General features: G+C 40.4%; 1 protein-coding gene across 1 annotated transcript in view; it reads left to right on the top strand.

Annotated features, from left to right (window-relative positions):
- STX12 (syntaxin 12) overlaps positions 1-21,766 on the top strand; it is a 51,225-nt gene that overhangs the window by 11,715 nt on the left and 17,744 nt on the right. Inside the window, exons 2-4 of the mRNA NM_177424.3 lie at positions 4,629-4,698; positions 8,600-8,699; positions 16,745-16,882. Coding sequence (NP_803173.1) covers positions 4,629-4,698; positions 8,600-8,699; positions 16,745-16,882 — 308 coding nt within the window. The remainder of the gene's footprint in view (positions 1-4,628; positions 4,699-8,599; positions 8,700-16,744; positions 16,883-21,766) is intronic.

A 21,766-nucleotide genomic window follows, 5' to 3' on the forward strand; every position in this document is an offset into this window, starting at 1 on the left:
CCCAAATTTAGGTCATCCCAACAAAGGAAATCAGAAAAGTCTAGATGAAGAAGAGTTCTCCACTGAGAATATGCAGAGAACAGCTGATTATTAATTGATTTTTTCATATTCTATAAAATTCCCATAGCTCTGTAGCTTATTTAATAAATTTTGATAGATGATTAATAACTTGATACTTTGGCATACTTCTAAAGTTTCTAAGGAATGCTCTACTTTTTAAAGACACTCAATAAGAAAAGACCTATTTCCTTGACTTTTTTTGTCAGATCTACGTTTACATGTTATCATATATTCAACCATTTTCTGGATGGGTGTGTGTGTGTTGGGAGGAGTTATACATACACAAAAATGAGTAGAATGCAGTCCCTGCCTTCTAGAGGGATATAGTCAGTCCAGTCCTGTTTGTACCTTGCATTTATGAAGTTAAGAAAGTCACAGGTGGAACCTTTCTAAGCCAAACTTTCGGGTTGCAAAAGTACTCCTTGGTTACACAGCATAATTCTTTGACTGGAGCTATTTCACTGTTATTGAATTTTGGAATTGAGCAGTGGTGGGAGTACTTAGAGATCATTTAGTTCTTACATAGTTGTAAGGATTTAATGAGATAAAATAAAAACCTTACACAAATAGTTTAAGTATTCAGTAAATGTCAGTGAAATCTGAATATCATCTATAATTGGTGAAAAAGAGACCCAGTCAAATGAAATGACTTGCTTAGTGCCCTGCATCTAGTTAGTCGTCAAGTCTGGCTTAGATTTCAGGCCTCATTATTCCTAGCTTATATTCTTCATTCATATCTTCTGCCTCAAAGAGCTTGCCAGAATGGAAAAGGGAGGCTAACTCAATTAATCAGTAATTGATTATGTATCACCTGGGTGCCTGGCACTCTGCTGAACTCTAGTGAGTACAGAGGAGTGTTCCCATAGGTGCCAGGGAGCTGGAGAAGGGAGCAGGTTAGAGGAAGGACATCAGCCTATCTGGAGCAGAGACCTATTAACTTAGGTATCAGATAAGTAGGGTGGGGCTAAGTGGAACACTGGGAAATCTAGGCCTGCCCTGTGTGACTACATTCTTTTTCCTGTAAGAGTCAGCCTTTTGAGAGACTGTAATGTGGCACATTCCACTGCAGTTAGCCCTGGGTTTAAATTCTGGTTGTAATGACACTCTGTTCAAAACCTACCAGTGATTTCCCACTTCATTAAAATTCAAAGTCCTCATAATTGTTTGCAAGGCCCTATACAATCTGGGTCCCTACTACCTCCTTGGCCACCTCTCTGCTGTCTCTTGCTCACTCTGCTCTAGCCACCCTGGCCTCCATCACATCAAGTACCCTTGCTTTGGGGACTTTGTACTGATTACTCTCTTCTCCTAGAATGCTTCTCCCCAAGATAGCTGTGTGGCTTGATCTTTCACTTTGGATCTCAGCTCAGTGTCACCTTATCAGAGAGGTCTCTCTGACCACTCTATATAACTAGTATCCTCTGCCCACCACTGTCACTTCAGCTCTTAACTGAATTTATTTCTTTTTATACTCTGACCACTCTGTATAACTAGTATCCTCTGCCCACCGCTGTCACCTCAGCTTTTACCTGAATTTATTTCTCTTTATACCATTTTTCACTACCTGATATGTTTATTGTCTATCTCTTTTCCTTAGAAGACTCTCGAAGGCAAGTGTCTTCTAGGACATGGAATAGTGTAGAGTAGATACTCTACTCTGAATGAATGAATGAATGAATGAGTTCTGTAACTCTCAGGAGCCTCATTGTGCTCATATGCAACAATGGAATAATAATACTTACTTAAAGGATTGTTGGAGTCAAATAAGTTAATGCTTGTCAAGCCCAGTGTCTAGTACCTCATAGTAGATGCTCAGTAAATGAAAATTCATGCCCTCTTTCATAAATTATTTTTATGGCTGTCCAGTTAATAGCTTTAGTTGTATCCTGATTCCCATTTGACTTAGATAAGAAGGACATACCACATGTTAGTGATGAAGAAAAGTGGTTGTCACACATAATGCTATCTTAGCAGAATGCAGTAATTATAGTGCTTATAATTGGAACCATGGAACCACTGAGCTATAGTGGTTCCTCACTTAGTAGAATAGATATCTTTTAGAGAAGTCTTGTCAAAAGGCAAAATTTGAATTAAGTGAATCCTATATTTCTGTTATAAAACTGGAATCACATTTTTGTTAGGAAAATATGGTCTCAAAATAAGATGAAATCATAATCTGAAGTGCTACCAGCCTATATATACTTGACTCGGGAAATGTTTGCTTTGTATCCCCAACAATGCAGTAATTTTGGCTAGGGAGAAATAACGTGTACTTACTACTAAGGACTGAGTTGTTCCATTTCTGTTTAGGAATAGAAGCACCCAGCAATAAGTTAGAAGATTTTTGCCTAATCGTTGCTTCTTATCAGATTTAGGGACTACTGGCCGGGTGCAGTGGCTCAACCCTGCAATCCCAGCACTTTGGGAGGCCGAGGCGGGTGGATTACCTGAGGTCAGGAGTTTGAGACCAGCCTGACCAACATGGTGAAACCCCATCTCTACTAAAAATACAAAAATTAGCCAGGCGTGGTGGCACACGCCTGTAATCCCAGCTACTCGGGAGGCTGAGGCAGGAGAATTGGTTGAGCCTGGGAGTCGGAGGTTGCAGTGAGCCGAGATCATGCCACTGCACTCCAGCCTGGCCGACAGAGTGAGACTCTGTATCAAAAAAAAAAAAGATTTAGGGACTATTAGCATGTCATTGGTATTGTAAGGTAACTGGTACTCAATACATTTTAGCTTACTTTTTTACTGATCTTGGTGACCAAATTAGGGACAAGATTATGACTGTGTCCCCCAAATATTGTTATTTTAAAGAGTACCATTACCAAAAAGTAAATTTGGAACAATTAATTTTTAAATTTCAAAATTCTAATAAGTGAAGGTTCTTTCTTGTTGGACATGGGAGCATTATATGTATACTGTTTCTATAATATTCACAAATTATACAATATACATTGGTCTCCTCATTTTCTTCCACTGAACTAGTCATTTAGCAGGCTGGTGTTTCACAAGTGAAACTGGCATTAATCCAGAGAGGATAGAAAGGGCTCTCACAAAGAAAGCTGAATGGCTGGAAGAGCCTTATACTTATTGTGTTATGTGATTTCTTGAAGTTCTGTTGAAACTTGATGGTAAGTGTGTTACTTCTGGGCAATGAGTACTCTATTCATATGTTCTGTACTCCAGCTACTTGTAATAGAAGACAGTGAATGCTCTTGGAAAACAAGCAAGCAAACAAGAAATCATATAACTAACTTCCAACCTCTATGAATGAATAAATCTCCCCCACCCTCCCCAGTAACCAGAAAAAGAAAATAGAAAGCAAGGCATAAAATAAATGAAGGGCTCTATTGTTGCAGAAATCAGTAAGGGACAGGAGTGTTCAGAGTCCCAGGCAGGCTGGCGTTAGAGTGTTCCTCCTTATTGATAGATGATCAGTTCCTCTGGACCTCTGCTTTCTTGGTCTAGGATAGGAGTTAAACATCCAGGATTCAAACATGACCATTCCTAGTCTTAGCAAATATCTAGGAAAAGGTAGAGAAGGCTGAACAAAACCATATGTTTGACTGTATTATGGTATAGACAGCACAGTTGAAAGAACATAGCCATTGGAATCTGATGTACTGGGCATTGAATTTTTGCTCTGCTACTTATTAATTGTGTATGCTTGTATAAGATACTTAATCTCTCTAAATACACTTCCTTACCTGCAAAATGGAAGTATATCTACTAAGGCCAGGCGTGGTGGCTCACGACTGTAATCCCAGGACTTTGGGAGGCCGAGGCGAGTGGATCACAAGGTCAGGAAATCCAGACCATCCTGGCTAACATGGTGAAAACCCGTCTCTACTAATAATACAAAAAAATTAATCGGGCGTGGTGGCAGGCGCCTGTAGTCCCAGCTACTCAGGAGGCTGAGGCAGGAGAATGGCATGAACCCAGGAGGCGGAGCTTGCGTGAGCTGAGATCGTGCCACTGCACTCCAGCCTGGGTGACAGAGTGAGACTCCATCTCAAAAAAAAAAAATAAATAAATAAAAAAGTACATCTACTGGAGATTGCTGTTGTGAAAATTAATAACAGAGTGTATACAAAGCTCTTAGTATATAGTGCCTGGCACTTAGAGGTGCTCAATTGGTGGTAACCCATTATTAGTAATAAGTATACATTGTCTTTCCAAAAATGTTTGCTATAGAAAAATTATTGTATTTGACTTGATTTTTTTTTTATTGTTGCAAATTGATATCTGGCCTAGAGGCCCTTCTAAAGGTGTTGAAATTTTTAACCATTGCAATAGGAGATCTAGGAAAACTAGCAAATTTTAGGGGGATGATAAAACTACCACCTTCTACTTTGTGACACAGTTACTCTATAGGAGAAAGGTGAACCTTGTAATTAGTTTTTGGAGGAATGTGTGTGTCAAGGTTTTGATCATAGCATGGTCTCTATTAGTTGCATGTATTAATACTTATTCTGAATGGGAAGAGACCAGGAATCTTAGAAGTAGGGTACTCATGATGAATGTATTTTTCTTTTAAATAAATCTTTTTCTTCCTATCTCCCCAGCTGCTCAGATAAAGAATTTGATGAGCCAGCTAGGAACTAAGCAGGACTCAAGCAAGCTACAGGAAAATCTGTGAGTAACTTCCTGACAAGGTTGGGTTTTGTGAGGGCCATTTGAGGACACAGTGTCCTTGCCAGACAGCAGCTTAGGTTTCAGGTCTGGGAAGTCAGAATGAGAGGCAGTGGGTCATGAGATAAGAGCTGGATCTAAAAGAGGGGCGGGGCAACAAAGTATATTAATGGATTGTAATTTCCGTTGCCTTTCAAAGTCTTTGAACTCTGGTTCTTTCTCCTCTTGGGCAGTTTAGCAGAACAATTTAGGGAAGTAGAAAAGGGAATTCGTACCACTATTAAACTATATTCTGCTCACAACTCTGCCTAAATGAGCTTCCTTGTTGGCGTAGGACTCCTCATGATCTAGTCTAACTGGATTTCCAGCTACAGTCAGCCTTCCATATCCATAGGTTCTGCACCTGTGGGTTCAACCAACCACAGATAGAAAATATTCAGAAAAAAAAAGGAAGGTCTCTACTGAAGATGTACAGACTTTTTTCCTTGTCATTACTGAAACAATATAGTAGAACAATTATTTACATAGTATTTACATTGTATTGTGTCTGGAGTTAGTTCCTTCTGGTGGGTTCTTGGTCTTGCTGACTTCAACAATGAAGCCGTGGACCTTCGTGGTGAGTGTTACAGCTCTTTAAGGTGGTGCGGACCCAAAGAGTGAGCAGCAGCAAGATTTACTGTGAAGAGCAAAACAACAAAGCTTCCACAGCGTGGAAGAGGATCTGAGCAGGTTGCTGCTGCTGGCTGGCGTGGCCAGCTTTTATTCCCTTATTTGTCCCCACCCATGTCCTGCTGATTGGTCCATTTTACAGAGCACTGATTGGTCCATTTTACAAACCTCTAGCTAGCCACAGATTGCTGATTGGTGCATTTTACAATCCTAGCTACAGAGTGCTGATTGGTGCATTTTACAATCCTCCTGTGAGACAGAAAATTTCTCAGAGTCCTCACCCAACCCAGAAGTCCAGCTGGCTTCACCTCTAAGTATTAAGTAATGTAATCTAGAGATGATTTAAAGTATATGGAAGGGGGTGCTGGGTGCAGTGACTCATGCCTGTAATCCCAGCACTTTGGGAGGCTGAGGCGGGCAGATCACCTGAGGTCAGGAGTTCAAGACCAGCCTGGCCAACATGATGAAACCCTGTCTCTACTAATAATACAAAAATCAGCTGGATGTGTGGCAGGCACCTGTAATCCCAGCTACTCAGGAGGCTGAGGCAGGAAAATAGCTTGAACCCAGGAGGCGGAGGTTGCGGTGAGCCAAGATCGCACCATTGCACTCCAGCCTAGGCAACAAGAGTGAAACTCTGTCTCAAAAAAATAAAAATAAAAATAAAAAATAAAGTATATGGGCCGGGTGTGGTGGCTCACACCTGTAATCCCAGCGCTTTGGGAGGCTGAGGTGGGCAGATCACCCGAGGTCGGGAGTTCAAGACCAGCCTGACCAACATGGTGAAACTCCATCTCTACTAAAAATACAAAAATTAGCTGGGCATGGTGGCGCGTGCCTGTAATCCCGGCTACTTGGGAGGCTGAGGTAGGAGAATCACTTGAACCTGGGAGGCGGAGGTTGCAGTGAGCTGAGATTGTGCCATTGCACTCCAGCCTGGGTGACAAGAGCGAAACTCCGTCTCAAAATAAATAAATAAATAAAGTATATGGAAGGATATGCATAGGTTCTAGGCAAATGTTACACAATTTTATATTAAGGACTTGGCAGGAGGCCTGGAACCAATCCCCCGTGGATACTGAGGGACTACTGCATATGTAATCAGAATGGCCCAAGGGGAGCCTGAGGGAGAGAATAGTAGACTGATAGTAGGGACTCCTGATTCTTTTTATCACATCCTTTTCTGCTCCATTTCTGCTTTTAGTGCTATTCTTCATCTTTAAAATGTTCTGAGCAAGCCGGGAGCAGTGGCTCACGCCTGTAATCCCAGCACTCTGGGAGGCCGAGGTGGGTGGGTCACGAGGTCAGGAGATCGAGACCATCCTGGCTAACACGGTGAAACCCTGTCTCTACTAAAAATACAAAAAATTAGCCAGGCGTGGTGGCACGTGCCTGTAGTCCCAGCTACTTGGGAGGCTGAGGCAGGGGAATCGCTTGAACCTGGGAGGCGGAGGTTGCAGTGAGCTGAGATCACATCACTGCACTCCAGCCTAGGTGACAGAGCAAGACTCTGTCTCAAAAAAATAAAATACAAAAATTAGCTGTGCGTGGTGGCTTGCGCCTGTAGTCACAGCTGCTTGGGAGGCTGAGGCAGGAGAATCACTTGAACCCGGGAGGCGAAGGTTGGAGTGAGCCAAGATCGCGCCACAGCACTCCGGCCTGGCGACAGAGCAAGACTCCATCTCAAAAAATATATATATATAATATAAATATAGTATATAAATATATATAAAATATAAATATAGTATATAAATATATCTATAATATATATAAAATATAAATATAGTATATAAATATAAAATATATAGTATATAAATATATAATATATATCTATATATGTATATATCTATATATGTGTATCTATATATGTATATACATATATATGTATCTATATATGTATATACATATATATGTATCTATATATATGTATATACATATATATGTATCTATATATATGTAGATACATATATATGTATCTATATATATGTAGATACATATATATGTATCTATATATATGTAGATACATATATATGTATCTATATATATGTAGATACATATATATGTATATATATATCAAGCAATATTTTTTGTTTCCTACCCTAGACAGTGTGAGGTAAGAGAATGACTATTATTGTGAGCTTTTTCCAGGGAAATGTGAAATATCTCTGGATATTTTCTACTGCCTGGGATGTTCAAGCCACTGATTGGGTACCTCTTGCTTTTGACTCCTTTTTTTTAAATCCTGGAGGCCCATTTGCAGTACAGAAAAACCATTAATAATTAGTGTGGTGTGTTAGCCCATTTGGGCTACTATAACAAAATACCATAAACTGAGTAGTTTATAAACAACAACTTTATTTCCATGATCTAATCACCCTCCAAAGGACCCCATCTCCTAATATTATCACCTCGGGAATTAGGATTTCAACATATGAATTTTGCAGGGACACTAACATTCAGATCATAGCATGTGGTTTCACTGTCGTCTCAGAAAGCCTTTGTAGAAATGGCTGGATAGTAGAGGAAACCACAAATGAAAAGAGTACTTTTTGTATTTCTACTACTTTAAGTTCCACTTAATATACTACATATTCTTTCCTCTTCAATTCCCCTTCCTCCCTACTCCTTTTGTATTTTTAACAGGTAAGGCTTCTTTGTTTTGGAGGGAAGAGCCAGAAACTCAGGTATAAAGAGCAGGTAGGAAGCCAAGGATAAGGCTAGAAAAGAGCCAGCTTTTTAAAGCAAGAGCATGGGATTAGATGTTTGGAGGTTGTTCCCTAGGGTAGGTAGGAAGCTACGCTTTTAATGCACATTTCATCTAACTGTCTGTGCCTAGATTCTAGTCAGTGGACTGTGGCAGTCAACTCCTGGACAATAAGAGAGTTCAGTATGTTTAAACTACTTGATTTAGGTGTGGGCGGCAATTGTTCTTTTTATATTTTTATCAGAACTGCTGATATGCTTTTCTTCTCTTCCCAAAGAGTTAAAATTCCCGATCTGTGCTTTCTTCAGCAGGCTATTGAAGCAGATTCTTTCTGCTCAGTGAAGATACCTTGAAGTGGGTTTGCCTGGGTAATATTTCTGGAATTTTGTTGTGAACCTGGGCATCTAGGGACTCATTTCTTCAAATGGCCCTTCATTCCCTACGTTATGAGACACTCTGAGAACAAAGTGGTTCTGTGTATAACCCTCTCAAGAAGTGACAACATCCTGAAACATATCTTTTCTCTCTTAGGCAACAGTTACAACACTCCACAAATCAGCTCGCCAAGGAAACAAATGAATTGCTGAAAGAATTAGGGTCCTTGCCCCTTCCCTTATCTACTTCAGAACAGGTTGGTATTTTCTGTTTTGTTTATTAATAGGAAAGGACTTTGTGTTAGTAGAAAGGCAGTGTGTAGAACAAAAAAAAAATAAGTTGGCCTTTGGTGCTAGATAGATAGACCTCCTCTGCACCTCAGTTTCTTATCCATCAAGTGGGGGATATGTGACTGTTGGGGCAATAGAAAGAATGTACACACCAGATGTGGCAAAGTGTCTGCGTCTGGTAGGTAATCAATATGTGGTGGCTGCTGCTATTATTAACATTATTAATATATTAATAAAATGGAGTTAACTGAAGAGAAATCTCAACATTTGCATCTCTTTGGGGTTTGGCTAGCAGTTTTATGTTTGTAGGCTTCCTCCTTTCTCCTAGTTTTTTTTTTTTTTAATTATTATTATTTTTATTGTTGTTGTCGTTTTGGAGACAGGGTCTCCCTCTGTCACCTACGGTAGAGCGCAGTGTTGAAATCATAGCTCACTGCAGCCTCCCACTTCTGGGCTCAAGCAGTCCCCTCCCCTCAGCCTCCTGAGTAGCTGCAACTACAGGCATGTGCCACCACACCCAGCTAATTTTAACAATTTTTTTGTACAGACATGGTCTTGCTTTGTTTCCCATGCTGGTATTGAACTTGTGACTTCAAGCAATCCTCCCACCTCAGCCTCCCAAAGTGTTGGGATTACAGGCGTGAGCCCCATGCCCAGGGTTCCTAGTTTGTTTTGTATCCATTATCTTTACATTTTAATGAAACATCTTTCTTTCATGTTTTGCAGTTACCTTCATGTTCTGTCATGAGTTATTCACAGGTCTCACTCAGGTTAAGGAACTGCTCAGGGAAAAAGGGTTCTCTTTTCAAGTCATTTTCTTCAGTGGCCATTTAAATCCTTTAGAAACACACAATTTTTACTGAGATTCATTGTTCCCTTAATATGCCACATTCCTGAAGTCAGATGTGCCCCTCCTTCATTGTGGCTTGACTTGTCATTCATGATCTACCTCAGGTCTCCAGTAAAAAAAACTTTCTCCGTCTACCTTCCTATTATGATCCTGTTTTGCTTTTAGCTTCTATACCATTCGTGGGGGCACTTAACTTGTATTGCTTTTTAAATTTTATTTTATTTTTGAGATAGGGTATTACTCTGTCACCCAGGCTGAGTGCAGTGGCAATCATAGCTCACTGCAACCTTGAACTCCTGGGCTCAAGGGATCCTCCCAACTCAGCCTCCTGAGTAGCTGGAACCACAAGTGCGCACCACCACACGCAGCTAAATTTTTAAATTTTTTGTAGAGATGAGGTCTTGCTATGTTTTCCAGGCTAGTCTCAAACTCCTGGGCTCAAGTGATCCTCCTTTCTTGGCCTTGCAAAGTACTGGGATTATAGACATGAGCCACTGTGCCTGACCTTTATATCGTTTTTTATGATTGAACGTTTTAAATGATAATGTCCTATATCTGATGGCTCTGAAGACAAAGCCTTTCAACTTCCCTGTCGTGGGTTGTTTTTCAAAGTATGGGTTGTGGCTAGTGGAACATGAAGTCATTTTAGTGTATTGAGATCAGCATTTTAAAAAACTTAGAGTAGAAGTATCAGAGTCTATATTATGTAATAATGGTAAATATTGTTATATGGAACTGTTGTTTCATACATACATATGTGTATGTATGGATGGATCATGATGTCAAATTCTTTTTTTTTTTTAATTTGAGACAGAGTCTTGCTCTGTCGCCCAGGCTGGAGTGCAGTGGGATAATCTTGGCTTACTGCAACCTCCGCCTCCCAGGTTCAAGCGATTCTCCTGCCTCAGCTTCCCAAGTTGCTGGGATTGCAGGCACCCACTACCACGCTCGGCTAATTTTTGTATTTTTAGTAGAGATGGGGTTTTGCCATGTTGGCCAGGCTGGTTTCAAACTCCTGACCTCAGGTGATCTGCCCAGCTAGACCTCCCAAAGTGCTGGGATTACAGGCCTGAGCCACCACACCTGGCCCATGTTGTCAAATTCTTATTGTAAATCTCTGTCAAAAAAAAATTGAAAATCACTAGTTTAACCTGATAAACTGTTCCATGTAGCATATCTGGAGTTTTGGCCCCCACTTGCAGAAGAGAGAGGAGGACAAGATGCTTTGTCATCCTGCTACAAAGTAGTTACCCTTTGGTTGTCTATATACGGGCTGTTTATTCTAATTATTACTCATGCTGATGTTTCAGTTATGGGCCATTTCCCCCTTGCCATCCAATATCTCCAAACTGCTGCCAAGTTACCCATTTCTTCCTCCTAACCATGCACTTAGGGAATACACACTTGTAGACAGTTTTCATAGTAACAAAAAAGGAGTTGAAGGGTCTAATGCAGAGTAGTGAAAGTATTTAAGAGTTAAGTAGTAGCCTAAGCAAAATATAAATAGAAAATCAAATCTGCTACCAAAACAAAATTCATCAAACATCTTCTAAAACCAAATAGAAGTTATTTTTGGATTATGCATGCTGTTGTTCCTTTCCATTATCTTGGATCATTAAGAACACGAACTAGATCTACAAACATACTCTCTCTGGTGAAATATAATTCCTTGATTCCCCTCCTCTTGTTATGCTCTGTATCCTTTTGTCTTTCTACTCTTTTCTCATCTAATTAATCTTAGCCCCATCACCCGTCTTTTCATTACTATCTTATACATCAAACCATACTCCTACTTTCAGTTTTTTTCCATACTTATATACTATCATCAATGATCTAGTTACCCAGTCCAGTGGCTTTTGAGGTTTTTTGTTCGTTTGTTTGAGACAGGGTCTCACTCAGTTATCCGGGCTGAGGCGCAGTGGAGTGGCGCAGTCGTGGCTCGCTGTATCACTGTAGCCTCAACCTCCCAGGCTCAAGTGATCCTCCCACCTTAGCTTCTCGAGTAGCTAGGACCACAGGCATGTGCCACCACACCAAGCTACTTTTTAAATGTTTTATAGAGACAGAGTCTTGCTATGTTGCCCAGGCTGGTCTCAAACTCCTGGGCTCAAGCAATCCTCTCTCCTCAGCCTCCCAAAGTGCTGGAATTACAGGCATGAACTGCCATACCAGGCCCTTTGTAAAGAGTTTTTTTTTTTTTTTTGGGACAGAGTTTCGCTCTTGTTGCCCAGGCTGGACTGCGCAAATGGTGCAATCTCGGCTCACCACAACTTCCACCTCCCAGGTTCAAGCAATTCTCCTGCCTCAGCCTCCCGAGTAGCTGGGATTATAGGCATGTGCCACCATGCCCAGCTAATTTTGTATTTTTAGTAGAGATGGGGTTTCTCCATGTTGGTCAGGCTGGTCTTGAACTCCCGACCTCAGGTGATCTGCCAGCCTTGGCCTCCCAAAGTGCTGGGATTACAGGCATGAGCCACCGCACCTGGCCATAAAGAGTTTTTATTCACTTTTTTTTTTTGAGACACAGTTTCACTGTGTCACCCAGGCTGGAGTGCAGTGGCGTGATCTGCACTCCAACCAGATCAGTGGCATGATCTGCACTCCAGTGAGCAAAGGCTCACTGCAACCTTTGTCTCCCAGGTTCGAGCAATTCTCCTGCCTCAGACTCCCAAGTAGCAGGGACTACAGACGCACACCACCACGCTAATTTTTGTATTATTAGCAGAGACAGGGTTTTGCCACGTTGGCCAGGTTGGTCTTGAATTCCTGACCTCAAGTGATCCGCCTGCCTCGGCCTTCCAAAGTTCTGGGATTGCAGGTGTGAGCTACCATGCCTGGCCTATTCACTTTTTTTCTGTTTCCTTTGATCCTCTTGCCTATCCCGTCTGCCCTGAAACTTTCTTCTTGCCATGATTCTCTTTCATTGTGTCCCCCAACTCTGGAGATCCCCAGGTTGAGTCAGCCTCCTTCCCGGACTTCATATCCTCCTAAGAGTGGGCATGCCCCAAGGTTGTGCCATTGATCCTCGAATTATTTCACTGTATGCTTTCTCCTTAGGAGTCACCTGCTTTTATGACCTCCCTTTCACCTTTATGATCATGACCTCAGATCTTTTTCCAATCTAACCCCTTCACCTCTAAGTGCGTGGCCCATATCTTCAATTCATGTTCTGACATCTCCTCCTGAAATAAACTACCTTCATATAAAACTTGTCTTATACTGAGTTTCTCATGTTTCTCCCAAACCCCTTAACTAAGTTCATTGACAATACTTAACATCACAGAAAAGTTTGTGCCTTTTGACCTAATATTCTCACTCATGCTAATTAGCCCTAAGGGGAAAAAAAATTCTGAAGGTAAACACACACACACACACACACACACACACACACAGAGTCTATATACTCTGGAGCCAAATTTCCTGGATTTAAATCCATCTTTGTCACTTACTGTGTGATCCTGGGCAAATTACATAGCCTCTGTGGTGCTTTGGTTTTCTGATGTGTAAAGTTGGGACTATAATAATGCCTAATTTATAGGTCATTGTATAGATAAATGAATTATTATGTAAAGCACTTACAGTAGTACTGGTACAATTTAAGCACTATATAAATATTAGCCATTACATTGGGGCTTACTTTATAATATTTAATAACTGTGAAAAATCTAGAAGGATTATTTACATAAAATTTAGGTCAACTTGATGGAATATATGTAAGCGATTAAAGATCATGGCCGGGCACAGTGGTTCACACCTGTAATCCCAGAACTTTGGGAGGCTGAGGCGGGTGGATTGCTTGAGTACAGGAGTTTGAGACCCAGCCCGGGCAACATCTCTACAAAAATTAGCCAGGCACGGTGGCTCATGCCTATAATCCCAGCACTTTGGGAGGCCGAGGTGGGCGGATCACCTGAGGTCAGGAGTTTGAGACCAGCCTGACCAACATGGCAAAACCCCATCTCTACTAAAAATACAAAAATTAGCCAGGCGTGATGGTGGCCACCTATAATCCCAACTACTCGGGAGACTGAGGCAGGAGAATTGCTTGAACCCAGGAGGCGGAGGTTGCAGTGAGCTGAGATTGTGCCATTGCACTCCAGCCGGGGTGACAGAGCGAGACTCCCTCTCAAAAAAAAAAAAAAAAAAAATCGCGCCACTGCACTGCAGCCTGGGTGACAGAGCGAGACTCCATCTCAAAAAAAGAAAAAAAAAAAAACTCGTGCCACTGCACTCCAGACTGGACGACAGAGCGAGACTCCGTCTCAAAAAAAAAAAAAAAAAAAAAAAATTAGCCAGGCATCGTGGTACACATCTGTAGTCCCAGCTACTCAGGTGGCTGAGGTGAGAGGATCATTTGAGTCTGGGAGGTTGGGGCTGCAGTGAGCTGAGATCACACCACTGCACCCCAGCTTGGGTGACAGAGCAAGACCCTGTCTCAAAAAAAAAAAAAACAAAAACATAATTGTGAAGAGTATGGTAACATGGAAAATGTTTATGATGTATTTAAAAGTTATGATAATATTTTTGCACGGTAAGGTTAGGGAATGATGTCCTCCCCGTTATTGTTATAATTTTGTTTATGCAAAAATAAAAATCTCAGAAGAAAAGGGTTGCTCATCTAAATTTGCTTTTAGTATTACCATCACTCTTCCAGGTTTGAAATTTCAGTCATTCTTGACTTTATCTCTCTTTCCCCACCACCAGTCAAAATGTTTCTTAAATTCATTTCTTTATGATTTTATTACTGATACTGTGTCCTCCTAACCTTAAACCTAGACTATTGAATTAGTGTTCTGTTTGACTTGTTTCTTTTTTCCATTCCACCTTTGTGTAAACGGTGACCCAGGTCTCATCACAGACTAATTTTTCTAAGTTACTATTTTGTACCCATGATGTTTCTTGCTCAAAAATCTTCATTGCTCTTTGTTCTTTAGAGGTTGAACCCCAAACTCATTAGCTTGTTTTTTTTTTTGTTTTTTTTTTTGAGACAGAACCTGGCTCTTTTGCTCAGTCTGGAGTGCAGTGGCGCGATCTCAGCTCACTGCAACCTCCACCTTCCAGGTTTAAGCAGTTCTCCTGCCTCAGCCTCCCAAGTGGCAAAGGACTACAGGCGCACGCCACCACGCCTGGCTAATTTTTTGTATTTTTAGTAGAGACATGGTTTCACCATGTTAGCCAGATGGTCTCCATCTCCTGGCCTCGTGATCTGCCTGCCTCATCCTCCCAATAGCTTGGCGTTTTGTTTTGTTTTTTGAGACGGAGTTTCACATGTGTTGCCCAGGCTGGAGTGCAATGGCACGATCTCAGCTCACTGCAACCTCCACCTCCTGGTTCAAGCAATTCTCCTGCCTCAGCCTCTCAAGTAGCTGGGATTACAGGTGCCTGCCACCATGTCTAGGTAATTTTTTCTATTTTTAGTAGTGATGGGGTTTCACCATGTTGGCCAGGACGGTCTTGAATAATTCCTGCCCTCAAGTGATCCACCCACCTTGCCTTCCAAAGTGCTGGGATTACAGGCATGCGCTACTGCGCCCGGCCTAGCTTGGCATTTAAAACCTGCTGTGGTTGGCCCCTTTCTTAACTTTCCAATTTTGTATTTTAGCTACTCTCATTACTAAACGTGTAGTTCCAACCAAACAGTCTGTCTAGAGATCCTCTTCAAGTTCTGCCACCATGCCTTTGCTCACACTATTCTCTTGCTTGGATTTGCCTTACCCCTTCTTTCTGCTTATTCATGCCTTCCTCTTACTTCACTGTCCACCTTCTCTTGAGGCCTTTCTTGGCCGCTTGAGTTCTTACTGATTATTCCTGCCCTCTGAACTCCTGTAGTACCAATTGGATATAGCAGTTATTTATAATAACTTTGTTACTTGTCTGTCTATATCCTTTATTTACAAATAGACAGCTGTTTGAGGTCAGGGGTGAGTTTTTACTTCTGTGTTCATAGAACAGGACAATGCTGTCAGTATGTGGTGTGTGTGTGTGTGTGTGTGTGTGTGTGTGTGTGTGTGTGTGTTTTGTTTTGTTTTTTCAGACAGAGTTTCACTCTATTGCTGAGGCTGGAGTACATGGCATGATTTCAACTCACTGCAGCCTCAACCTTCCAGGGTCAAATGATCCTCCTGCCCCAGCCTCTGAGTAGCTGATGTGTACCACCACGCCCGGCTAATTTTTTTATTTTTTGTAGAGATAGGATTTTGTCATGTTGCTCAGGCTGGTCTTGAACTCCTAGGCTCAAGTGATCCTCCTGCCTCAGCCTCCCAAAATACTAGGACTATAGGCATAAGCCACTGTGCTCAACCTCAGCATATGTTTTTTGAGACATAGAAGTAACAAGCTTAGTAGAGGTAGTCTGTAGATAAATGAAGTACTTACCAAGTCTCAAAGATTTTAAACCACTAAAAGCCTGTGAAATGCTTCTATAGTTTACAGGGAAGCTGTGAATTCAATATAGATGAATAGGGTTTTAACATTTTAGCTAAAACCCATCTCTGTTTGGATTCAACTGGAGTCCAGAGGTATTTATTCTCTTTTATATTCTCCAGGGCACCAAAATTCTGAATTGCAGTTCTTTGGAGATTACTTTAGAAGTTAAATACAGGCTGGGCACAGTGACTCACGCCTGTAATCCCAGCACTTTGGGAGGCCGAGGCGGGCAGATCACCTGAGGTGAGGAGTTCTACAATAGCCCGGCCAACATGGCGAAACCCCATCTGTACTAAAAATACAATAAAAAATTAGCCAGGTATGGTGGTGGGTGCCTGTAATCCCAGCTCCTCAGGAGGCTGAGGCACAAGAATCGCTTGAACACGGGCGGCAGAGGTTGGCAGTGAGCTGAGATCATGCCACTGCGCTCCAGCCTGGGCGACAGAGCAAGACTCCGTCTCAATAAAAAGAAAAAAAAAAAAAGAAGAAGAAGTTAAATGCAACCCAGTTCCAGGTTTGTCAGAATGAAAGAAGAAAAATTCTGACTTGGTCTATAGTATTAACCAGGGACTTGAGCTAGCAAAGAGCAAATTTATTAATTTAAAGAAGAGACTATTTCATAATAATTTTCCTAGTTGGAAATCTTTAAGGGGTATAATTTTACTTTTAAGGGAAATTAAAACCAAATGATTCTGGGTTAATATGAAATCTCAAGTTCTTGCTTGATTTCCTTAGCGCCAGCAGAGACTTCAGAAGGAACGCCTCATGAATGACTTCTCTGCAGCCTTAAACAATTTCCAGGCTGTGCAGAGAAGGGTATCTGAAAAGGAAAAGGAGAGTATTGCCAGAGCAAGAGCTGGATCTCGTCTTTCTGTAAGTTGATTCCCAAAAGAAGACCTTTGCAATATCAGAATGTTCTTTTCCAAGTTTGTGGGTTTTTTTCTTTTTCTCTTTGACCAATAAACATGTAAGTTAGCTGCTGTGAAAATGGCAGGTTGGTGTAACCTATGTAAAAAACATATATGCATGTGATCAAAGCCTAGAAAGGAATCTGAATGAAGGTTAAGAGATATAGGAGGAAGAACTATGTCTAATTTTCTTTTTCATTTTGATATATTGGTTTTAACGTTAAAAACTTGAAAATAAAAATAATGAATCTGTTTCCTGGAATATAACAGGCTAGTTTATTTGGACTAGCCCTCTGTTTTTGAAAAGGATTTTCAAATACTGGATTTTAAAAATCCAACTTCTCAAAAGTATCAAAGATTATGAAAATATTAAGGTAAAGCCTGAGAGGTCAGCAGAATACTGAAACTGCTTTTGCATTGAATGTCTTTACTGAAGGCAAACTTGAACTTCAGTTTTGATATCCTCATGGCATGGGGAGGATAAAAGTCAAAGCCAAAGGTCCATGCAAGAGAGAGAATATAAAAGAAGGTACAACTCAAATTAAACTGGGCCCTAAGAGACTATATCCTTAGAACATTAAGTCAAAAGTAAGCTCTTCTATCCCCCGGCAGATTACAGAAAGATTGCATTAGCACTGAACTGAGCAGATGGAGGAGGAGGGCAGGAGGGAGGAGAAATCTAGACAAGGTTACCACAAAGTAACCTTCTTCAGGCAGATTTTCTGCTCAAATTCATCCTACCTGAATGGTTCAGTGGTCCTGGACTGGGAGAGCCACCTATGTGTGGGATAGAAGCAAACACAAATTCCTTCTGTAGAAAGACACCTTTATCCTAGCCCTGAAATAATACTCTCAAATAATTTTTCTAGGGCAGTAAGTACCAGTCACTAAAAATAACCATGTGTGCAAAGAAACAAATTACTCTGAACAAGAATTAGTAGAAACAACAATGAAGTGAAATATACCTACAAAGACTTTTTATATTAGAATTATAAGACAACTATACTTATTGTGTTTAAAGACATAAAAGGCTGAAAACCTCTGCAGGAAACTACACAAAGATTTGAAAAAGTGTCAAAAGAATTTCTAAAATGGAAAGATATAATATAGAAATTTAAAAACTTAGTGGATGGGTGGTTTAACTAAAAAATTGGTTAGAATATATTATCCAGCATGTAGCATAGGGGGTTAAGAGGTTAAATACGGAAGAAAGATTATGAAAAATGGAGAATGGAGAGAAAAGATCTAACGTAGTTTTAACTGGAGTTATAGAGTGAGAATAGGGCAAACATAGAACAGAGGTGATATTTGAAGAAATAATGAGTGATAATATTCTAGAACTGATTAAAAACACTAGCCTGCAGTTTCAAGAAGCCTAACAAATCCCAAGCAGGATAAATAAAATCTCTAATCTAGATACATCAAAGACAAACTTCAGACCAGAGACAAAGAGAAAAATCATAAAGATAGCTAGAGAAACATTAGAATACCTTCAAAGATACAATAGTTAGATTGACAGTTGACTTCTCAACAACAGTGGAAGCCAGTAGAGTGCTATCTTGAATGTTGATGAAGGACAATAACTGCCTACCTAGGATTCTAAACCCAGTGAAAATATATGTCAGAATGAGGGCTAATTAAAGACATTTTCAATCAAAAGAGAGTTTTCTGTCAGCACATCTTATTGAAGGAAATTCTAAATAATGTATTTCAGATGGAAGGAAAGTGATCTCAGATGGAAAGTCTGAAAAGCAGAAAGAAATGAAGAACAAAAAAAGTGGTAAAGATGTGAAAAGACTAGTCACAGGGAGAAGACATTGCTATATATATTTAATAGCAAAGGACTAGCATTTAGAATATATAAAGAATTCGGCCAGGCGTGGTGGCTCACACCTGTAATCCCAGCACTTTGGGAGGCCAAGGTGGGCAGATCACGAGGTCAGGAGTTCAAGACCAGCCTGGCCAACATGGTGAAACCCTGTCTCTACTAAAAATACAAAATTAGCTGGGCGTGGTAGCGCGTGCCTGTAATCCCAGCTACTCTGGAGGCTGAGGCAGGAGAATCGCTTGAACCAGGGAGACAGAGGTTGCAGTGAGCTGAGATTGTGCCCCTGTGCTCCAGCCTGGGCGACACAACAAGATTGTATCTCAAAAAACAAAAAACAAAACAAAAAAAACCCCAGAATTCCCATGAATCAATATGAAAAAGAAAGATACAACTCAATAGAACAAAAGTTGTCAAACTTTTTAATCTCAGGAACCCATTACACTCTTAAAAATCATTAAATTCTGTGGCCGGGCGCAGTGGCTCATGCCTGTAATCCCAGCACTTTGGGAGGCCGAGGCGGGTGGATCACCTGAGGTCAGGAGTTCAAGACCAGCCTGGCCAACATGGAGAAACCCTGTCTCTATTAAAAAATACAAAATTAGCCGCGCATGGTGGCGCATGCCTGTAATCCCAGCTACTTGGGAGGCTGAGGCAGGAGAATCACTTGAACCTGGGAGGTGGAGGTTGCAGTGAGCCGAGATTGCACCATTGCACTCCAGCCTGGGCAAAAAGAGTGAAATTCCGTCTCAAAAAAAAATATCATTAAGTTATCTTCTTGAATCTTAAAAAAAAAAAAAATTACTAAGGACCTGTATTAGTCTGTTCTCACTCTGCTATAAAGAACTGCCCGAAGCTGGGCGTGGTGGCTCACGCCTGTAATCCCAGCACTTTGGGAGGCTGAGGCGGGCAGATCACAGGGTCAGGAGTTCAAGACCAGCCTGGCCAACATGGTGAAACCCCATCGCTACTAAAAATATAAAAAATTAGCCGGGCATGGTGGCAGGTGCCTATAATCCCAGCTACTCAGGACGCTGAGGCAGGAGACTCGCTTCAACCCGGGAGGCGGAGATTGCCATGAGCTGAGACCGCACCGCTGCACTCCAGCCTGGGCAACAGAGTGAGACTCCATCTCAAAAAAAAAAAAAGGAAGAAAGAACTGCCAGAGACTGGGTAATTTACTTTAATTTATATTGAAGTATTTAATTTATATAGGAAAGGGGTTTTGTTGACTCACATTTCCACATGTCTGGGAGGCCTCAGGAAACTTACAGTCATGGTAGAAGACACCTCTTCACAGGACCGCAGGAGAGAGAATGAGTGCGGAGAGAAGGGGAAAGCCCCTTATAAAACCATCAGATGTTGTGAGAACTCAGTCACTATCACGAGAACAACAAGGGGAAAACTGTCCCCATGCTTCAGTTTTGTCCATCTGGTCTCGCCCTTGACACGTGGGGATTATTACAATTCAAGGTGAGATTTGGGTGGGGACACAGAGCCAAACCATATCAGACCCCAAAGAAGTTTTGTTTATATGAGTCATATCTATTGATGTATACTGTATTAGAAATTAAAACTGAGAAAAATTTTAGATGTTTGTTTATTCATTTACAAATAATACACTTATTACATATTAACATGAATATAAATTAGATTTTTTATGCACATGGGGAAAGAAGGAATTAAATTAGATTTTTCATTTTAAAAAATTGTGTTTCCAAGAAAAAAAATTAGTGGGCAGAGTAGCATTATTTTCATTTTTGCAAATTTTTTTTATTTTAATGTCTGGCTTACCAGAAGGCAGCTAGATTTTCATAGCTGCTTTTGTTTTTTAACCTCCATACTAAAGATGTAAATGATTTATATAACACCATTACAGTATTAGAATATTCTGAATTTGACTATTTACTTACTTTTACCAGTGAATGTTATACTTTCATATGTTTTCATGTTACTAATTATTATGCTTTTCATTCAGCTTGAAGAACTCCCTTTAGCACTTCTTGTGAGGCAGGTGTAGTGGTGATGAACTCTCTCAGCTTTTTTCGTCTAGGATTATATCTGCTTCTGTATTCAGTCTATTATGATAGATTGTTCTGGTTGAAGTATCTGAAGAAAATCCAAGCTAGCAGAAATATACAATTGGAAAAGGAATATTTTTATAACCTTGTTGATACTCTTCTTTGATACTACATCAAAACTTGACAAAAGTTAGTTGCATTGTACAATCTAAAACCATTATAATGACTTCATACTCTGTTACATTAACATCTGTTGGTCTATATTATACTTTGATTGGATCTTTTATCCATGCATGATTTTTATAGCATCATGTATTTATCATTTGGATAGTATTGGTTCCCTGAGTTATGCAGCTCTTCCAAATGTCGATACATTTCATTTTACAATATAAAAAAATACATATTTCCATCAGTTTCACCAGAAAAGTATTTAAATATTGGGAAACTCTTACAATGGTAGATACAAGTCTTCCGAAATTTTATTTTTATTTTTACTTGAAAGCTACATTTTTGTCATTGGCAACAAACACCCTCTGTTGTTTTCCTTGAAGTGACAGGCTCATACTTCTTTTCAACAAGTTGTCTGCCAAATACCCATCTGAAAAGTTTATATGTATACGTTTATGAAAGTTTTAAAGCTTTTAAATAAGTTTTTAGTAAGTTCTTATAAAACTATATTGAATAAGTAAAAATGGTATTCCCTAAAAAAAGTGGCTAGTTCAGCCTGCAGTTCCATTACACAAGTGCTTTTCCTAGAGACAGACATTGTATTTCTTTATGCAGCAGAAGTACTTTATGTGCACTTCCCATTTCACAATACAGAATAGTAGAAAGATATGTATTGAGGGGTCAAGGTTTAATTAATAATTTGTATGGCTTCAAGAATACATTGGCTTTTAAAATACGGTGAGTGTGTGGTGATGAAGAATACAATAATACTAGTGCAATTCGGTGCCACTGCCTTCAGCCATTTTATCTATCTGTATTAGTCCATTTTCACACT

This window comes from Homo sapiens, chromosome 1 (genome assembly GCF_000001405.40).
Source record: "Homo sapiens chromosome 1, GRCh38.p14 Primary Assembly".
In the NCBI taxonomy this organism is placed as follows: Eukaryota; Metazoa; Chordata; class Mammalia; order Primates; family Hominidae; genus Homo; species Homo sapiens.